This window comes from Homo sapiens, chromosome 1 (assembly GCF_000001405.40).
Source record: "Homo sapiens chromosome 1, GRCh38.p14 Primary Assembly".
Taxonomy (NCBI): Eukaryota; Metazoa; Chordata; class Mammalia; order Primates; family Hominidae; genus Homo; species Homo sapiens.
In genome coordinates, this window is record NC_000001.11 from 240,494,944 (window position 1) to 240,514,824 (window position 19,881).

A 19,881-nucleotide genomic window follows, 5' to 3' on the forward strand; every position below is an offset into this window, starting at 1 on the left:
TATTAAAACTGTCTGATGACAATGCAAAGTGTCATCTCATTTGTATTAGGAGACTATGACACAAATTCAATAGGAATGAGAATTGGACAGAAATTATTCTCATGCTATCTAAAACGTGGCTTGCAGGGCACAAGCCAAAGTCTGACTAAAGTGAAAGATAGACTTCAAAGTGTAATTCACATTTTAAATTTTTGTATTTTTAGTAGTAGCCCCAAGGAACACTAATACCCAGCAATATTGAGGACTCTGATCTCTTTTTACAACGGTAGCTACCAATGTAGCTGTTACCAACATCATCATCATCTTTATGTTTACTCATTTTCTGTTTTACCTTCTCTAGGACTCCATGAATTCCCATTCTTTTAACATGTATACCCTAAAATGGACATGTAACAATTATATATACATCATATGTATCATATAGTAATATAGTATATATCAGTTGTTATATTTATCAATCATGAGTATATAGAAATAACTAAAATTGAATATTAAATATGTTAAATGTTTGAATTTTTTACGTCTTAAATATATCCATGCTAATGGTAATAGCAAATATTTATTGATTCTCAAAGTACATCAAACACTTACAGTTTACTTTCATGTATAGACGTATTTAATGATCTGAGTTCTATGAAGTAGGTACTATTATTTTCTTCATTTTATGGATGAGGACACTAAGGCATTGACAGGCTGCCAAGATTCTATAGCCAGTATGTGAAATATTTGAATCCAGGCATCCCGGCTCCAGAATCTGAGCTCTGGGTGAGTATAGCTGCCTCTTTGTTAAAAATATTTACGTTAAAATATCTATGCTAAAATTATTTCTCTGAGTCTTAGTCTAAGTCTAAACCACAAGAGGCCTTTGCATGCCACCTTGGAGATGATTCCTTTATTCATCAAGTATCCATGGAACGTTTATTCTGGAGTAAGCACTGTCATAGGCTTTGTGAATTCCAGTATCTTAGAGAATAAGGCAAAGGTTTTTTTTGTTTTTGTTTTTGTTTTTTTTTTGATGGAGTCTCACTCTGTCACCAGGCTGGAATGCAGTGGCACGATCTCAGCTCACTGCAACCTCTGCCTCCCAAGTTCAAGCAATTCTCCTGCCTCAGCCTCCCAAGTAGCTGAGATTACAGGCGCGCGCCACCAGGCCCAGCTAATTTTTGTATTTTTAGTAGAGACAGGGTTTCACTATGTTGGCCAGGCTGGTCTCGAACTCCTGACCTCAAGTGATCTGCCGGTCTCGGCCTCCCAAAGTGCTGGGATTACAGGCCACTGGGCCAGGCTAAGGCAAAGTTCTCACAGGGTCGGACGAGCCTTTACAAGATCTCCCCACTCCCCTGCATCTCACCAGCCTCCTCCGTCCTCTCTCCCACTTGCTCACTCTGCTCCAGCCATACTGGAAATAGCCTATCTGTTTCTAGAATGAGCTTGGCATTCTTGTGCTCTAGAGCCTTACCTTGTCTTTCTCCCAAATGTCTACTTGGCCTTCTTCCTCACAGTCTTCAACTCTTTGCTCGGTTACCACCTCTGTAGCGAAGGCTTAGAGTTACCTTCACCACCATCGTGGACGTCACCGTCTCCTCCTTCCCTGCTTTATCTTCCTCCAGGGAACTTATCATCTAACGAGATAGTATTTCATAATCACACTTGTCTTTCTTGTCTGACTTTTCTCCTGGGAATGTAAGGTCCAAGAGAGAAGACCTGCCTGTTTTGTTCATTGCCATGTCTCCTGCTCTCAGAACAGTGCCTGGTGTACAGTAGGCACTCAATAAATGTGTTAAGGCCAGGCTCAGCGGCTCATGCCTGTAATCCCAGCACTTTGGGAGGCCAAGGTGGGCGGATCCCCTGATGTCAGGAGTTTGAGACCAGCCTGGCCAAAATGGTGAAACCCCGTCTCTACTAAAAATACAAAAAAATTAGCTGGGCGTGGTGGCACACACCTGTAGTCCCAGTAGTCCCAGCTACTCAGGAGGGTGAGGCAGGAGAATCGCTTGAACCCGGGAGGCAGAGGTTGCAGTGAGCCAAGATCATGCCATTGCACTCCAGCCTGGGCAACAAGAGTGAAACTCCATCTCAAAAAAAAAAAATGTTGAACGAAATATGGATACTATACAGGTCATTGCCTTCAACAAGTCTGTAATTAAGAAGCCAGAGAAAGGCATGCACGTGACTGCGTGACAAAGGTATTTAGGAAGAATGGCCTGGGTCCTTGTGGTAGTGATCCTGTGACCAACGACATCTGAATCACCTGTGGTACTTTACAGTGCACATTCCTGGGCTCAAGAAGCATTCTTTTTAAAAAAAGTTTTAATTAAATTTCTTTTTAATTTTTAATGTTTGTGGGTACATAATAGGTATATATATTTATGGAGTACATGAGATCTTTTGATACAGGCCCCAAAGCATTCTGGGTCAGTAGTGTTGGGGTGGGGTTTCAGATCTGTATTTCTAAAAATTGCCTCACCCAATTCTGGTGGGATCCAATGGCCACAAAGTATAGTGAGGGCGAAAGGGAAAAGCATCGGTTCTACCTGGAGAAGGAGCAGGAGGAGCTTAGGAAGTCACAAGTAAGTGGGTCCCTTGAAATCTGAACAGGATTCCTCAGGGCGATGATATGGGCAAAAGCAAAGGGTTTGGTACTGTCGATGACGCTGGGCAAAGGGAGTAAAAAAAAAAAATTGAAAGCAGAAAGGAGAAAAAAAAAGTTTTTTTTTTTTTGCAAAAACATTTTGTCCAGCACAATTATTAAAATTTTAACGCCTCATTTTTAAAGGGTTTTTCTCATGCCTCCTTAGTTGCACACATGAAATGTCATATGAAAATGGCCACGCTTCCAGCTGGCTCAGGCCAAGTGTCAAGTATTGGACTCGCTCAGCTTACATAGCTTATTATATTTGTGGAATGATTTGTGATCTCAATAGCCTCTTAAAAAGAAAGTATTTTGGTTCCATTTTAATAATTTCCGAAATTATTAACATTCTGAGTAAACATAACCAAGAGTTTGCAAGTCCCAGCCAGGAAAGATTGACAGAGTCAGTCTGGTCCTCAATTCCTAGTTCCAGTAACAGCTTCACATGCATGGCTGATAGACTCAAAAATGCACGCTTTCCTTCAACAGGTCCTAGATCTTATCAGAGAGAACAGAGCTAAGACAGAGCTGACAGAGCTAAATCAGATCAATTTGAGGCAAAACCTCTTAGGGCCAATAGTATTAGATGTGGTGCTGGGCATTCTTTGAACTCATTAACATGTTTTCAAAACATCTGGCAATCATCCTTAGAAGTTAGGTCTCACGGGAAGCTAAGCAAAAATGCAAACCTTCAACTTTCAGGAAGGGGGAAAAGTGGTTGAGGAAATCTCGATGACTGGGGCGAAGTCAGTCTCTTCTCTTTTTCCTTTCCTACATCTCATTTCTTTTCTCCTTCACACATAGCAATAGTAAGATGGCCAAGGATCTGGCATCTCACTGTCAGACAGGTAAGTAGGCAAGAGGTGTTCGGCCATGGTGACCCACAGTGACTGTGAGGCTGTATCCTCCTACTTCAGAGCATTCAGGCAGTTGAGCCAGCAACTGCTAACGGCACCTACACTGCTGGCCCTTGGCTGTGCAGAGTTCACCAGGGGAGAGAACGTCCGTTCTCTTGCTTGCCTCTGTCCGTTCGCTCATCATCCCTGCACAAGCATGTCAGCGGCCCCGCCAGGAGCTGAATTTAGCACTTTATAGAAAGTCCCACTCTGTCCTGAACCACTTTGCTAATCAGAAAAATGGTTGGCACACAATTAACCTTTCAGGAATGTTGCCACCCCTGCCGGTAACGACAGCACGAGGATACTTCATTTTATTCTCACATCTTGTATTTGGCTTGTATCAGAAGAAACTCATAAATAAATCCTGTTGGTTTTATTAACCATCTTTCTGGCCTGACCATGTTCTCAATTTACAAGGGGTGCCAGGACTGTAAATGCTGATGGTCTAAGCAGACTGGGTTGGCCAAAGTTGGTTGTGCAAAGAGAGAGGTAGTGGAAGTGCTTTCCTTTTAAGTGAACGCCCTCAGGCCTGGCCTCTGTAGATACCAGAATAAGGACTGCACAGGCCAAAGCAAGCTAGTATTTAGGCAGCTAAGGAATCCATCACAGGCCCCTTCTATCAGCCGTTCCTAAAAGTGGCAAGACCTGAACAGGGGTTCTACAACAGGAGCTTGAACAATAAAACTTCCTGATTTCTAGGAAAGAATACAGTAGTGCTGAGTCATCCTTCCTGACAGGCAAATGCAAGTGACCAATGGCAAAGGGTACAGCTAAGCTGATGAACTCACTCCAAGAGTGGCCTTCTTGAGTTTTAGAAGTCAAATCAAGTTAGCCCTGGGCTGTGCAGGAATGGTGAATGGCGTGGGGCTGAAACTTTTTCTACAACCTGAGGATTTTATGGCATTCTTGGAAAGTTGAAGGGAAGTCCCCAGGGCTGAATAGCTGAATACTGATAGGCACATCTGGGATAAACTTGCTCCCATTACCCAAGTGAAAACCATGGCAGAACCAAACAAAACTCCCAACAAGATTACACTTCAGAGGTCATTTTTATGAGGTTTAGTACTGCCACAGCCTCAGCTACTAAAGGCACTTCATCGATGACTTGGATTCTTAGGCTGGGAGGGTGGTGGTCTGGCTCTTCAGTTAAACCTTTAGAGACAGAGGTCGATGTTTCTTGGCCCTGGGATCAGGGATCATCCTCGCAGCCAAAGATTGCTTGCTTGCTGAAACCACTTACCCCCAGCTTCTATAAACTAAGGCAAACTATGGCCCACAGGCCAAACCCAACCTGAGATCTGTTTTGTAAATAAAGTTATGTTGGAACACAGCCACAGCCACTCATTTAGTCTATGGCTGCTGCTTTGGTGCTATAAGGGCAGAGTGAGTGGTGGAGACCTGAATATAATGCCCATGGTCTAAAATATTTACTTTCTGGGCTTTTACAGAAACACTTTGCTAAGTCCTGCTCCAAACATTTTCTATCCAATTCAATCTTTGCCTTCTCTTTAGTGTTGAACTCTTTTGCCAGAAAAGTAGCTTTCAATTTTAAAATTTCTAACTATGAAACATTTCAAACAGAGAGCAAAACAGAAAATATAACAATAGGTACTCACCAGAAAGATGAAAACAATACTGACATTTCCCATTTTTATTTTGCAATCTTTCAGTTTTGAAAATGTTAATATAAGTAAAGCTAAAATGCTCTCCTATCTCCTCATCCCTCACTGAGATGACCAGCATCCCAAAGTTGGTATTCGTCGTTCCTGTTGATGCTTTTGCTGCTCATGTTCTGTGTATCAGAGTATGTTTGTGTGTGTGGATAATCTTTTTTTTTTTTTCCAGACAGAGTCTTGCTCTGTTGCCCAGGCTGGAGTGCAGTGGCGCGATCTTGGCTCACTGCAAGCTCCGCCTCCCAGGTTCACGCCATTCTCCTGCCTCAGCCTCCCGAGTAACTGGGACTACAGGCACCCACCACCACACCTGGCTAATTTTTTTTTTTGTATTTTTAATAGAGACAAGGTTTCACCGTGTTGGCCAGGCTGGTCTCGAACTTCTAGCCTCAAGTGATCCATTCGCCTTGGCCTCCCAAAGTGCTGGGATTACAAGCGTGAGCTGCCGTGCCCAGCCGATAATCTTTACATAAATTATATCACACTCTTTTGCAACTTTTTCCCCAAGAGATATGTGTTTGGGATTTTATGCACATGGATATTTGTAGAAGGAGCCTGTTTATCCCCACCACTGAATATTAAAGCACAGTTTATTCATTCAGCTTATGGAGGAACAGTTTTTTTGCTTCCAGTTTTTCACTATTGCCAATAGTGCTGAACTGAACATTTTGGCATGTGTTTATTTATGCCCATCTGTTAGAGTTTTTCTAGAGGAGGCACCGGGCGGTGGAAATGCTGGGTCACAGGATATGTACAACTTGAGCTTGACTAAGTTGTGCCGAGTTGCTTTCCAAATGCCAGTACCAGTATCCTTTCCCCTGGGTAATATGTGAGTTCCTGCTGGTGCACATATTTGCTAATTCTTGGTGTTACCAGATTCATCGCCTTTTGCCTATCTGAAACATTTGAGATGGCATCTTATGATGATTTTAATTTGCATCTCTCTGATTGTACAGCAAGCTCAAATGCCATGGCTGTGTGACTGAAAATAAATGATTACAACTTACCCGAAGTGAGAGAAATTAAAATATGAGGAAAGGAAAAATAAGAATTTCCAACTATAAATCTTCTGAACTGTCATGGAAATAATAGGAAGTGACTTGCAACTTCAAAGCAGAAAGATCAGGGCATCCCACATGACTCAGAAGTTTGAAATCCAAATGGATTCATTTACTTTTCCAAGTGACATTGCCTGAGTGGAACACTGACTATCATTTTGTTCCAGGAGAAGCTTAATTTCATCTGGAAAAATTATATTATGTTTTCTTAAAAAGGTTTTCAACAGAGAAGAAATGATACTATCATTACTTACTTTGACTTCTGGACAGCAAATGCATCATTAGGGAATTTGTAATCAACGTTCTAAATCTTTGAAGAAATTGTTGGGATAAATTCAGGATAGGAAATGGAATGCTGAAGCAAGATGGCAGCAAAGCATTAAATTAAATAAGGAGATGAATGAGGAAGCGCTTGGAAAGCTGTGCGTTTATACACAAGTGGGCTGCTTCTCTCTAGGGTACATCCATGTGCGGATGGGAGGGAGAACATGGTTTCTGGGCCCTGAGCTGCCCATGTTGTGACCCCGTGTGACTCACTCCCAGGCTTCTCTGGGTTCTCCCCTGTAAAATGGTGTTAATGACACTTGCCACCCTCTGGACCTTGTTGCTGTCAGAAGAATGTGACACTGAAATCACATCAAAACCCAAGAACCCTCCGAGCAAAAAGGACCATGAGTTTTATTTGAAAGGAAGGAAGAAATCAGAAGCTATCCATTAGAATTTTACAGCCAGTGACATTGTTCTCTGCAGCCATTAGGCAGTACCTAAATATTTTTTTTTTCAGATAAAGATTTTAGACTGCTGCCCGAAACACCAATCATGCTCTCGTGATTCCACAGCCCAAAGACCCCCTCTTCGACCTTCCTAGGACAGCATTCTGTGTCCAGTGAGAGCTAAAATAGCAGACGTCCACTTCCCTCGGAGCAGAGTATAGCTTTTCTGTCTCTGTATACATAAAAATTCAAGAGGCCTGTCTAAAATGCTTTGAACAAAATCAAAAATATCCTGTCCATGCAACCCACCAACTTTTCCTGTTCACTCTTACTTCAAGCTACTTCATTATACTTGCTGTATGTTAGTTTGGAGGAATGGTGACAGAGCACATAGCAAAGCCTGATGAAACTATCACTGTAACCCCTTTTTCCTCTGAAACTCTTGAGAAAATATTTTTCAATTATTTTGCTTCACTCTTCCAGTATCTTTTCGTGATTTTTCTTTCTGTGCTCTCCTCTTAAAGGTTGGTGTTCCCCAAGAATTTTTTCCATAACCCTGTCTTCTCATTCCTCACATTTCTACTAAGAATTTCATTCATGCCTACGACTTCAACTAGCTCTCTGCTCATGACTCATAGACCCTCTACTCAACTGCCTATCAAACATTCCCCAAATGTCCTGTAGGCACCTCAAATTCTATATGTTCCAAATCTTTTCATATCTTCCCACTCATCATTCCTCTGATAGATGCTATCCCAATGAACAGAACAGCACCGATCCTTTCACCTCAACCAGAAAGTTGAATTTGAACAGACTCTGTTCACTTACTTCCTAAGAGTCAAGATCTCCATTCTTCCTTACTAACAGAACCATAATTTGTTCAGGTATTGAATTTCAAGTTCTTCATAGACCTTTCTACACACCGTGGAGTTGAAAGGTGGTTGGTCCAAGCCAATTGGTTATTCCACTGTCCTTGCAAGCGACTGATTTAAGCATGGGCAATAAGGTAACTGTGAGGCAAGGTGCAGCCTCCTTGGAAAAGTTTTTATTCCCTGATGAAAAGAGACATGCCAGGAGAAACTACCATTCAGGTCTTTATTGTGGTTAGGCAAGGATGTGATGACTGAGGCTTTAGCAGCTTCCATGAGGGGCAAGCACAGGATGCAAATCAAATCTTTGCAGTATAGAGCACAAAATGGAAAGCAACTGGATTCTTGATTATGTTATTAAGCCACTGTACTCAGCAGCCCTGGAACTGCTTACCTCTGGACTTCGTGTTCGTGAGTTAAATTCTTTAGTATTTAAATCACTTTTGCACAGCTACTGGAGAGTATCCCAGTTTATCTTCCCGTATATTAAGTCCATCAACAAGACCTCATCTTCTTTCATTCCTCACTTCTTAATCCCACTGTTACCACTTTGGTTTAGATCCTCATCATCTGAACATTGTGTTAGTCTCTTCGCTGGCCTCCCTTCTCCCTTCAGATTCACACTCTCAGATCCATCTTCTCAGCTCCTATCAGAGTGGACATTTTAACCTGCAAATCTGTCTGTGTTATTCCTTCACATTAAACCCTTTAAAGATTTCTCGTCACTTACAAACAAGTTCAAAGTCTTTGGCACAATGCATAGGCCTTCTGCAATCTTTGTCTTCTTCCTGTCCCATCAGATAGTATCCCTTTACCTTACACCTTATGCTTGAAATGCACAAAACTATGTGTTCTATCTACCACATGCAAGGCTGCTTTCCACTCCCATATAGCTATTGCTTTAGCCTGAGATATTATTTCTCTGGCCACTGTTAGTCACTTAGGCTTCAATAAAATGCTGTTTCCTTTGTGAAACCATACATGTTTCCTGTGCTCTTTATTTTCGCCATGGTCATGACAGACTGCCTTCATATAGCCAATAGATGTGGTGTAGCTATTGTCTGCACATTTTCTCCCCCACTGGAGTCTAAGTAATTGGAAGAGAGGGGTATTTAATCTTTGTTTCCACAGTCACTTACAGTGGGTCTAGAGCATAGTTTTAAATGTTTATTAATTTATGAATGAATGAAGGACTGGATGATTGACCAGGTTTTACCTACACTAGTATAGATGTGACATTTTTTCTATTTTTAAAAACTATAAAGAAGAACTTGAAACTGGCTTAACTTCTCAATAGGAGTGACACTTTCTACATAAGCCTTTAATCACAATAATTTAATGCCTATCTAGCTATCAAAATCAGAAGTGAACATAATTATTAAAAATGGAATATTTGAAAAAATGGAAAAAAACTGTTCAGTACTAATAATTTTTGCAGGTCCTCATCTTCCTTTTATTTCAAAGTGTGTTCCACCCCTCTTTGCTCCTTCAATCACTGATCTAATATTCTTTGTTATTTCTCATCTTAACTACTACAGCAATTCTGGGTAACTGGTCTTCAAATCAGCATATGTCTAACCCTCGGGGGCTACCCGTAGGCTTTCCAAGAGGTATGAGTACAAGGGTAGTTTTAGGGGAATCAATATACAAATCCTCAACTTCCATTTTTTCTTTTCTTCCACGAGATCTGTTGAGGAAGTGCCTACAATAGAATGGACAGATTATCCTTTCCTGCCTCTCTTCTTGCACTTGACAGAAGAAAGTGATAGCTCCCATCCAACCCACTCTTATTGTGGTATATCGCCTAAAGTACAAAAAAAGGCTCTAGGGCACCAAGCAAAGGGACAATTCTAAATATTGTTACCCTCACTAAAAAGTAAATGACTAATCAGTTCCTTTTGCAAGTCAGGCTGTTTCCCATAATTTTCTTTAAACCAAAATTAAAGGAGAATCTAATTACATTAACAGCTAATATATCACCAAAAATAATTTTTGATAATGATTGCTGTTAGATTTTTTTCACGTCTAAGTTTGAAGGATTTTAAGAAATCAAGACATTGCTGTTAAGAAAATACATTGTATTATATTCTATTTATGTGAACACATTTCCTTAGTATATGTTATATATATAATAGATGATATAGTTTGGATCTATGTCCCCGCCCCAATCTTATGTCAAATTATAATCCCCAATGTTGGAGGTGGGGCCTGGTGGAAGGTGATTGGATCATGGGGGCAGTTTCCAATGGTTTAACACCATTCCCCTAGTGCTGTGCTCATGATAGAGATGTCACAAGATCTAGTTGTTTAAAAGGGTGTGGCACCTCCCCTATCTCTCTCTTCCTCCTGCTCTGGCCATGTGAGAAGTGCTGGCTCCCACTTCAACTTCCGCCATGACTGTAAGTTTCCTGAGGCCTCCCCAGAAGCTGAGCAGATGACCAACATCATGCGTCCTGTGCAGCCTGCAGAACTGTGACCCAATTAAATCTCTTTTCTTTATACATTACCCATTCTCAGATATTTCTTTATAGCCGACTAATACAGTATGTATTGCATATATGATTATACTATATAATCATACACACGCACAGTAGGGAATGTCTGCTGAGCCCTGTCTTCTTTCTAGGAAAAAGTAGTATTCATATATGAAAACAAAAACAACAATAAAAAAACTCCATTCATGGGGCATCTATTTAAGAGATGAAAATAATTGAAATTTACCTTTTTGTATTTAATAATTACTTACTAAATTTATAAAATATTTATGCTATTTTGCCCTCTTTTTTCAGTGTTACTGGGTATATTTATGCCTTTTTTTATCAAATACTGTTCTTCACTCTAATGTGTAATCAATCCAAAGAGCCAAAAAAATTAATCCCCAAAATTTAAATACTTTAATGTGACCACATTATTAAAATCAAAATCTACATGCATTCTTTTTGTCATAGAAAAGAATGATAGGAAAAAAAAAAGAATGATATGGTGAAAAGCCTTTTATATATAAAACCTATTATGAAATAGTTCTATGGGTAGAACTACAATGAAATATGAATTAAGGAGAAAAAAATGTAAAATTTCCTTTAGGGAGTATTTCTACATGTATTTTTCTTAAAAAGTGTATAATAGTGGGTATAAAATAGCAATGGTATTTATATTCCTCTGGAGACATTTTAAAACGTGGTATAACCATTTTTTTAAAAAAAAGATCCAGTTTGCAATACTCTTTACATAATATCTACTGCAAATTTTAGATGTCAATTAAAAAGTGTGAGAGGTCATAGATTTAGAACTAAAAATGTTTGGAGAACAGTACACTGAAGTATATTAAAGCATATTATTATATTATTATTTGCAAGCATGAGAATATCATTAATGATTCTGGGCAAGAAGAATAAGTCATTCTTGAACTCTTTGATATGTAAAAATTTTATGTCCACATGAAAATGTTATAAAGAAAGACCTCAGGCTTCATTCCTCTCCTAGTCACTCACTCAAGTCTCTTGAATTCTGCAGCCTCTCTTTCCTGACAGTTTTTCAGAACAGTCTATTAGCTAATGGGTCCATAGAGGACTGGAAAGTCTCATATTAAGTAATTTAATTGAAACAAGAAGTCTGGTTTCGTCGGTGTTAAGTCTTACGCACCCTGCCTTTTTCAAGTTAGCTTTATTGACAACTGATGCTGAATTCAGACAAATTAGAGTGCAAATTCAAGGCTCTCGACCAAGGAAAACAAACATAATCAGAAACAATCAATCAGGAGACTTAAAACATGCCAGTGGATATGGGAGTTACGGGAAAAGTGAAGAAAAAAAGTGTTGAAAACGGATTAAAAATGAACACCAATACCAAAAGCATTCTCCATTTATGAGGCTATGCTAGGCAGCACTTTTGTTAAAGTTGTGCACATTAATTTATTCATTCATTCATTTTCCATGTTCCATGCACCTTCCTAAGGTTTGAGATACAAAGAAGAATAAGACATTGACTTCCTCCCTGGAATAAGACAAAGAAACCGAAAGGGACAATAAACCTGGACATTGGAGGCTAGGGAATTGGCTGTTTGAGTAAGCCATGAAAGACAATGTGAGCCTGAGCTAAGTGGTGATGGGGCTAGGGGTGAAGGAAACATTTCAGATGCTTGGGCTTTAGCGTGTTGAAGGGATTGAGTGACACAACAATGAAGAAGGGGGACATCTAGGTAGCTGCTTCAGGCAACTGGATGATGGGGCTGGAGCCGGGGCTGGTATTCACCATGATAGAGAATATCGGAGGAAGAGCTGGTTTTGGGCAGGGCAGGGAGTTTCTATGGCACAAGGAATAAAAGATGTCTGGTAGAACACGGGCCTCAGAAAATTGCTCTCCAGCGATGCCCAGCTCTGTGTGGGTAATAAGATTACTGAGCGGTAGAGTAAGAAGAAAAGTGGGCTGAGAGTGAAACTCAGGGGAACACCAGCTTTTTCCTTCCCTCCATTCCTTCCTGCCTGCCTTCCTGCCTTCCTCCCTCCCTCCCTCCCTTCCTTCCTTCCTCCTTCCCTCCCTCCCTCCTTTACCTCTCTCTTTCTTTCTTTCTCTAGCTCTTTTTACCCGGGCTGGAGTGCAGTGGTGCAATCTTGGCTCACTGCAACCTCCGCCTCCTGGGTTCAAGCGATTCTCCTGCCTCAGCCTCCCAAAAGTAGCTGGGATTACAGGCATGTGCCACCATGCCCGGCTAATTTTTGTATTTTTAGTAGAGACAGGGTTTCACCATGTTGGCCAAGGTGGTCTCAAATTCCTGACCTCAAGTGATACGCCCACCTTGGCCTCCCAAAATGCTGAGATTATAGGCATAAGCCACTGTGCCTGGCTAGAATACCAGCTTTTCAAGGAAGTAAGGAAATCTACAAAGGAAGACAAGGAAAAGCAGGAATAGCAAAGGCTATAAGAAGGCAGATGAGGGAAAGGCTGAAAAGTCTTCACTGGATGGAGAGAGGTCACCTTGGTGGAAGAATTTCAGAGAAGGAGGGTGGGGGTGGGAGGGAAACAAGATTGCAGAGAGGAAGAAGTGAAGACGATGTGTACAGAATCCTATTGACTATGCTTTAAAATGTTGCTGATAAACCATAATTTGTCTGCCCTTCCAAATATTTAAGGATCTACTCTAAGTGAAGTAAATGAAATAACTAGAGAGGATGGAAAGTGTTTTCTGACCCACAGCATTGGGAACCCAAGATACATCATCCTGAAAAGCTAAACAATGAGGTACGTGCCGAGCTGGTGCCTGGGCTTGAAATTCCCTCTATTTTTCTGAAATTTTGCTTGTTTCTCAAATAATTAACCTTCTCCTCCAAATACCTAACTTACTAGCTCTCTACAATGGAAAACTTCATCAGGGTAGAGACTAAGTCTGTTTTGTTCACCACTGTATCTCTGGATTTTAGCACAGGTCCTGGACACATAGTAGATGACCAATACATATTTATTGAATGAAAGAACACACATCTAATGTTTCAGAGAAACTGTAGATGTTGTATTTGCTCATATTCAAACAGCCAGAATATAACTGATATTTGAGAAGGGGAACGTCTGGGAGGTTAGGAGAATCAGTTCTTGGCCTTTTTATTTTGGAAATAAAGCAAATGTAAGTGTACCATTCATGCAGCAAATATTTACTGAGTGCACATGTGCTCGTGCTGTTTCGTGTCCATTCTGCCTTTTATAACTGTTTAGATCTTTCCTAGGATCAGCCTAATTATAAATAATGTAAATAAAAAGGACTTCTACTGAACTTTTGAAGTATTTGTAGAGAATGTTTCTTGTTAACATCAAACAGAACCAGTTATACCTTAAGCCAAGCTTATCAAGTATTTTTTAATACATTGTTTCCAAACACAAGTATTGGCACATTTTTCCATAGAGCAAGTTCTATTAACAATCTATTACTTGTATGCAACACAAATTCAATAAACGACTTTCTTTTTCTTTTATAAGTGGATCTCAAACTTCATTATGAACACAACACACCTGGGAATGCAGATTCCAGGTCCACGTACTTCCAGAATTCCCTGACTCAAGATCTGAGCTGGAACCTGAGAATTGATATTTTTAATAAGCACCCCATACTCTGAAAAACAAAGCCCAAATTATTTGTCTAAAATGTAATTATTTGGGCTCTGGTCCATTGCCTGGGGCAAACTTCATTAATTATATCCTCATTAATAAGGACCAGAGACTAATGCAGTGATACGTAGCAATCAGTGTTAGAGTTAATTGAAATTTAGATCTAACATCTCTTCTTTCTTTGAGCAATTTCCCCATGTTTAGAGTAGAGGACTTCTTTAATGATTTGTGACAGGAAGATGTGAGGGAGAGGATTTGAAAGTAATTGTGACATGTGTTTCCAATTAGGATGCCTTTCTTCTCCAGCCTGTGGGCTGTGCCTTCTGCAGCTCTATGGAGGGTCATGTTGAGAGAGGCCCCTGCACCGGGCCCAGTGGACAGGGTGTGAACCAGGGACCTGGCTCACTCCAACTCAGGTGTAGTGAAGGTCAGCATGCATGTCCAAGCAGAGGCTTGCCCAGGAGCCAGCTCATTTGATTTTTTTTTTTTTTTTTTTTTTTTTGAGACAGAGTTTCACTCTTGTTGCCCAGGCTGGAGTGCAATGGCACGATCTTGGCTCACTGCAACCTCTGCCTCCTGGGTTCAAGCGATTCTCCTGCCTCAGCCTCCCGAGTAGCTGTGATTACAGGCATGCACCAACAAGCCCAGCTAATGTTGTATTTTTAGTAGAGACGGGGTTTCTCCATGTTGGTCAGGCTGGTCTCGAACTCTCAACCTCAGGTGATCCGCCCGCCTCAGCCTCCCAGTGTGCTGGGATTACAGGCATGAGCCACTGCACCCGGTGCTCATTTGACTCTTATGACCTCCCTGCCCCTTTCTCTCCCCAGCTTCCCATGAAGTTCGAATCTCTTTCAGGCAACACACATTGAATGGGAACTTAAGAAGCGGAAGAGAATCTGTAGGCAGGCATCTGTTATGGTAGAAGGGGCCATAGAAGGAATTCTGCATATTCAATATGAAGAAGATCATCTGTATTTGGTGGAAGTAAGTACTGGAGAGGGTAGTGATGGGGTGTCAAGAACTCATGATCCCTGAGAGCTGCTCTCAAATATTTGAAGGGCTGTCATGTGGAAGCTACGGTTAAGCCTTCCTGGGCTACTGTAGAGCAAAGCTGAGACCAATGAGCAGAGAGACTGGGAGAAATATTCTTACTCAATACATCCATTTATAAAAATAATTATCGCTCTTTAAAAAGCAAATGGTAGGCCGGGTGCGGTGGCTCACGCCTGTAATCCCAGCACTTTGGGAGGCCGAGGCGGGCGGATCACGAGGTCAGGAGATTGGGACCATCCTGGCTAACACGGTGAAACCCCGTCTCCACTAAAAATACAAAGAAATGAGCCGGGCGTGGTGGCGGGCGCCTGTAGTCCCAGCTAGTCGGGAGGCTGAGGCAGGAGAATGGCGTGAACCGGGGAGGCGGAGCTTGCACTGAGCAGAGATCGCGCCACTGCACTCCAGCCTGGGCGACAGAGCGAGACTCCGTCGCAAAAAAAAAAAAAAAAAAAAAAAAAAAAAATCAAATGGTATCCGGAATATGTCAATCCACAGGGACAGACTGCAGACTGCTGGTTGCCAGGGGCTGGGGGTGGAGGGGAAAGGACAGCTCCTTAATGAGTACGGGGTTTCTTGTGGGGGCAATAAAAATGTTTTGGAACTAGATAGAGCTGGTGGTTGCAAAACTTTGCAACACTTTTCAGTACTAAAGGCCACTGAATTGTACACCTAAGATTGTTAATGTTACGTTACGTGAGTTTCACCTCAATTAAAAGAAATGAATTAGCAGAGACATTAATTAAAGTGGTGATTTAAAAGTTTTCGATGAACAAATTCAGTCTGTGGTTAACATTTAAATTAATAAAAAATCAAATATTGTTCTCTTTTTCTCTAAGAAAATACGTAAGTGAAGGTTTTGTGATTATGCTTCCAGGAGACAAAAAAGAGACGTCTGCATTAAGTAGAAAGTGGCATTAGGTATGAACCAAGGTAACCAGCTTTTCTTTTTAAAAAACGTAATCCTTTTGTCTTTAAATTAATTTTATTTTGGTTACAAAAATTATTTGCTATTTGTAGAAATTTTGGAGAATTTAGAAAACATTAATGACAACTACAAGTAACTTTCAATGACTATCTAATCTAACACGTATATGTGTTCAAAGTAGTTAATTATTCTTCTATTTAGGTTGTTTCCAGTTTTCAGTTTTACAAGTAATACTGTTTTGAACACTAGTGTACATATTAATTTTGGATTATTATTATAAGTTAGGTATCTAGAAGTAGCATTAGTTTCTCACTAACAGATCTTGAACTCTAACATTTGATAAGTTTGAGTATAGTCAGCACTCCATATCCATAGGTTCCACATCTGCCTATCAAAAATATTCAGGAAAAAACCCAAACAATGAAAAATAACACAACAATAAAAAATAATACAAATAAAAATACAGTATAACAACTATTTACATAGCATTTTTGTTGAATTAGCTATTATAAGTAATCTAGAGATGATTTAGAGTACACGAGAGAATATCCATAGGCCATGTTTACCATGGGAGAATATCCATAGGCCTTTTATAAAAGGGACTTGAGGCCAGGCCTGTTGGCTCACGCCTGTAATCCCAGCACTTTGGGAAGCCGAGGCGGGCGGATAACCTGAGGTTAGGAGTTGGAGACCAGCCTGGCCAACACGGTGAAACCCCGTCACTACTAAAAATACAAAGAAATTAGCCGGGTGTGGTGGTGGGCGCCTATAATCCCAGCTACTTGGGAGGCTGAGGCAGGAGAATTGCTTGAACCTGAGAGGTGGAGTTTGCGGTAAGCCGAGATTGTGACACTGCACTCCAGCCTGCAGCCTGGGCGACAAGAGCGAGACTCCATCTCAAAGAAAAAAGGGACTTGAGCGTCCGTGGATTTCAGTATACTTGGAGGATTCTGGAACCAATCCCTTTTAGATACCTAAGAATGACTGTATCTGTTTAGGAAATCAAGTGTCTGTGGTCCAGGGAAAGATGAATGAGACAGCTGCTGCACCCCCTCATACCCCAATAAGAATAAGTGTGGAAACTGACACTTCAAAACTCCAGACCAGGCCAAGGAGCTGGCAGACCAGGCAGAAGTTAAGCAGAAGCAGGGAAAAGAACATGTGCTTTCCATCTCTCTGTACACTTGTCAAACCATTTTAATTGTAATTTTTGTTTGCTTGGGCAAATGGTTTTTAAGCATAATAGATTTATGTTGAAGATCCAGTTACCATTTCAATGCAAGGGAATAGTGAAGGACAAAGGAAAATTATTTGAGGGAGATTTTTTTCTCAAGAAAAATACAAGAGAAGAATTTACTGGTGAAGAATAAAGAATATATGTGACTAGAGCATCAGTATGAAAACTTCTAATAGTGTGTTAAATAAATATCTATTAATAAGAGAAAAGTCTCAGCTTCAAATGGGACAATATCCTTCAATATTAATAGAAAATATACATTTTAAAAATAAAAAGTGACTTGTCTGGATAACTCAGCACCGGGCTAGTAGAATCATTCCAGAAGTTATAATTAAAATTCCACCTATTTTCCTACTACTAAGGCTCTTTCCTTCTTTTCACAATGAATTACTTATTCATCTTGATCTCACACATGAGCTTTCTGTCGCAGAACTTATAAGCAGAGGACTTTATTGAAAATAATTTTAACCACTGAATGCAGTTTGCTCTACTTTTTGCTAATTGTAATACATTCTTACTTCCCTGACGCATTGATTTAAAGAAAAAAACGATAAAAGCAATATGACATTTGAGATCTTACTTGTTTGAAATGCTGTATTTTAAAAAGTTTCCAGAATCATTCCATATAAGGTTTCATGTAAAATACTCACATTCATATTTCAGTTTGTTGACAGAATTTGTTATACATTTAAGTTATTAAAGTTATGGCCCTGATAGTAGTAGAAATTTAATATCCTCTATAATCCCAATTCCTGTTCCTGAACTCTCCATTAGACAACACTACTTTGGCACTTTCAAGGAGATGTAAATTAATCATTCTCAACACATACTTATTGTGAGCCTACTATGTGCCAGGTGCAGTGGTGGGTACTAGGAATACAGCAGATATGATCCTGTCTTTCCTAGAATTTACATTCTAGAGAGGATATACAGATAATACACTAGTAAATGTTATAAAATATTTTCAGATAGCAGGAAGTTCTATGAAGGACATAAAAAGAGATGATGGTAGTAGAGAGAATGGTGTGGGGTAGGACATAATTAGGTTGAATGGTTAGGGGGCTTCCCTATGGCATGCAACGTGAGACCTGAATAACAAGCAAGGATGATACCCAGATGTGTGAGGAGAGAGAAGAGCTAGCATGAGAATGAACTGGGATGAGGACAAACTCTTCAGGTTCTTAGAAGAGAAAGGTGACCGGGCGCAGTGGCTCACGCCTGTAATCCCAGCACTTTGGGAGACCGAGGCGGGCGGATCGCGAGGTCAAGAGATCGAGATCAACCTGGCCAACAAGGTGAAACCCCATCTCTACTAAAAATATACAAATTAGCTGGGCGTGGTGGCATGCGACTGTAGTCCCAGCTACTCGGGAGGCTGAGGCAAGAGAATCGCTTTAACCTGGGAGACAGAGGTTGCAGTGAGCCGAGATCACACCATTGCACTCCAGCCTGGGTGACAGAGTGAGACTCCATCTACAAAAAAAAAAAAAAAAAAGAAGAAGAAGAGAAGAGAAAGGCCAGGATGGTTGGAACTTACAGTGCGAGGGGGCCAGTATCCAGAGATGGGGATACGGCAGATGGGGACCAGATCATGCATGGTCTTATGGACCGTGATAAATGTTTGGATTCTGTGTTTGGTGAGAAGCCACAACAGGGTTTAGAGTAGCAAAGTGACATCATCTAATTTTATGACTTGGAAACTTAACTCATACTGCTTTATAGAGAAAGGTATATTGGTGAGAATGTAAGTGGAAGACCATTTAAGAATTACTGGAATAATCTACAAATGAAAAATAATGGCAGTTTGCACTAGGGTGGTAGTGGAGAAAAAGAGACAGAAATGGCTTTAAGAGGGTTTCAGAAATAGTCCGGTGCGGTGGCTCATGCATGTAATCCCAGCACTTTGGGCGGCTGAGGCGGGTGGATCACCTGACGTCAGGACTTCAAGACCAGCCTGGCCAAAATGGTGAAACTATGCCTCTACAAAAAAATACAAAAATTAGCCAGGCGTGGTGGCATGCATCTGTAACCCCAGTTACTCGGGAGGCTGAGGCAGGGGAATCGCTTGAACCCAGGAGGTGGAGGTTTCAGTGAGCTGAGATTGCGTCATTATACTCCAGCCTGGGCAACAATAGCGAGATTCCATCTCAAAAAAAAAAAAAAAAAAAAAAGCGTTTCAGAAATAAAAACAACGTGTCACATATTCCATTAGAGGTGAGACTGGAGCAAAGTTTTTGAAGTAAGCAAGACTAGAGGAAGAAGAGTCTCAGGCAGAACTCAAGGGTTCTATTTTGGCCATGTTAAGTTTGAGATGTCTATTAGATTTACATTTGAAAAACTCAGGTTTTCTAAAGTTTACATGAAAGGTGAGAGTGAAATGTACACACTGGAGTAAGAACAATGCTTAAAGTTAGGGATACGGATGAACATATTTAAACAGAAACTAGAGAAGAACAAGAGATAAGAAACAGCTCTGTGGTCCTCCAGCCTTAAAAAGTACTATCAACTTTAACAAGAAGGCCAGGAGCAATAGCTCACACCTGTAATCCCAGCACTTCAAGACGCCAAGGCAGGAGGATTGCATGAGGCCAGCAGCCCGAGACCAGCTTGGGCAACATGGTGAAACACCATCTCTACAAAAAAATTTAAAAATTAGCTGGGCTTGGAGGTGCACAGCTGTATTCCCAGCTACTCAGGAGGCCGAGGCAGAAGGATAGTTTGAACCC

General features: G+C 40.8%; 1 protein-coding gene across 4 annotated transcripts in view, besides 1 other annotated feature; it reads right to left on the bottom strand.

Moving 5' to 3' along the window:
- GREM2 (gremlin 2, DAN family BMP antagonist) overlaps positions 1–19,881 on the bottom strand; it is a 122,583-nt gene that overhangs the window by 5,371 nt on the left and 97,331 nt on the right. The window contains exon 2 of one of the 4 annotated variants that reach the window (XM_011544249.3): positions 2,535–2,654. The exons of the other annotated variants lie outside the window; for them this stretch is intronic. The gene's annotated coding sequence lies outside the window, so the exon portion shown is untranslated. The remainder of the gene's footprint in view (positions 1–2,534; positions 2,655–19,881) is intronic. 4 annotated transcript variants of the gene reach the window in all.
- Positions 8,733–8,933: a silencer, noted in NCBI's record as "peak794 fragment used in MPRA reporter construct". NCBI's record gives its function as "represses an SCP1 promoter by STARR-seq MPRAs in K562 erythroleukemia cells {active_cell/tissue: K562}" and the evidence as "EXISTENCE:reporter gene assay evidence [ECO:0000049][PMID:32103011]".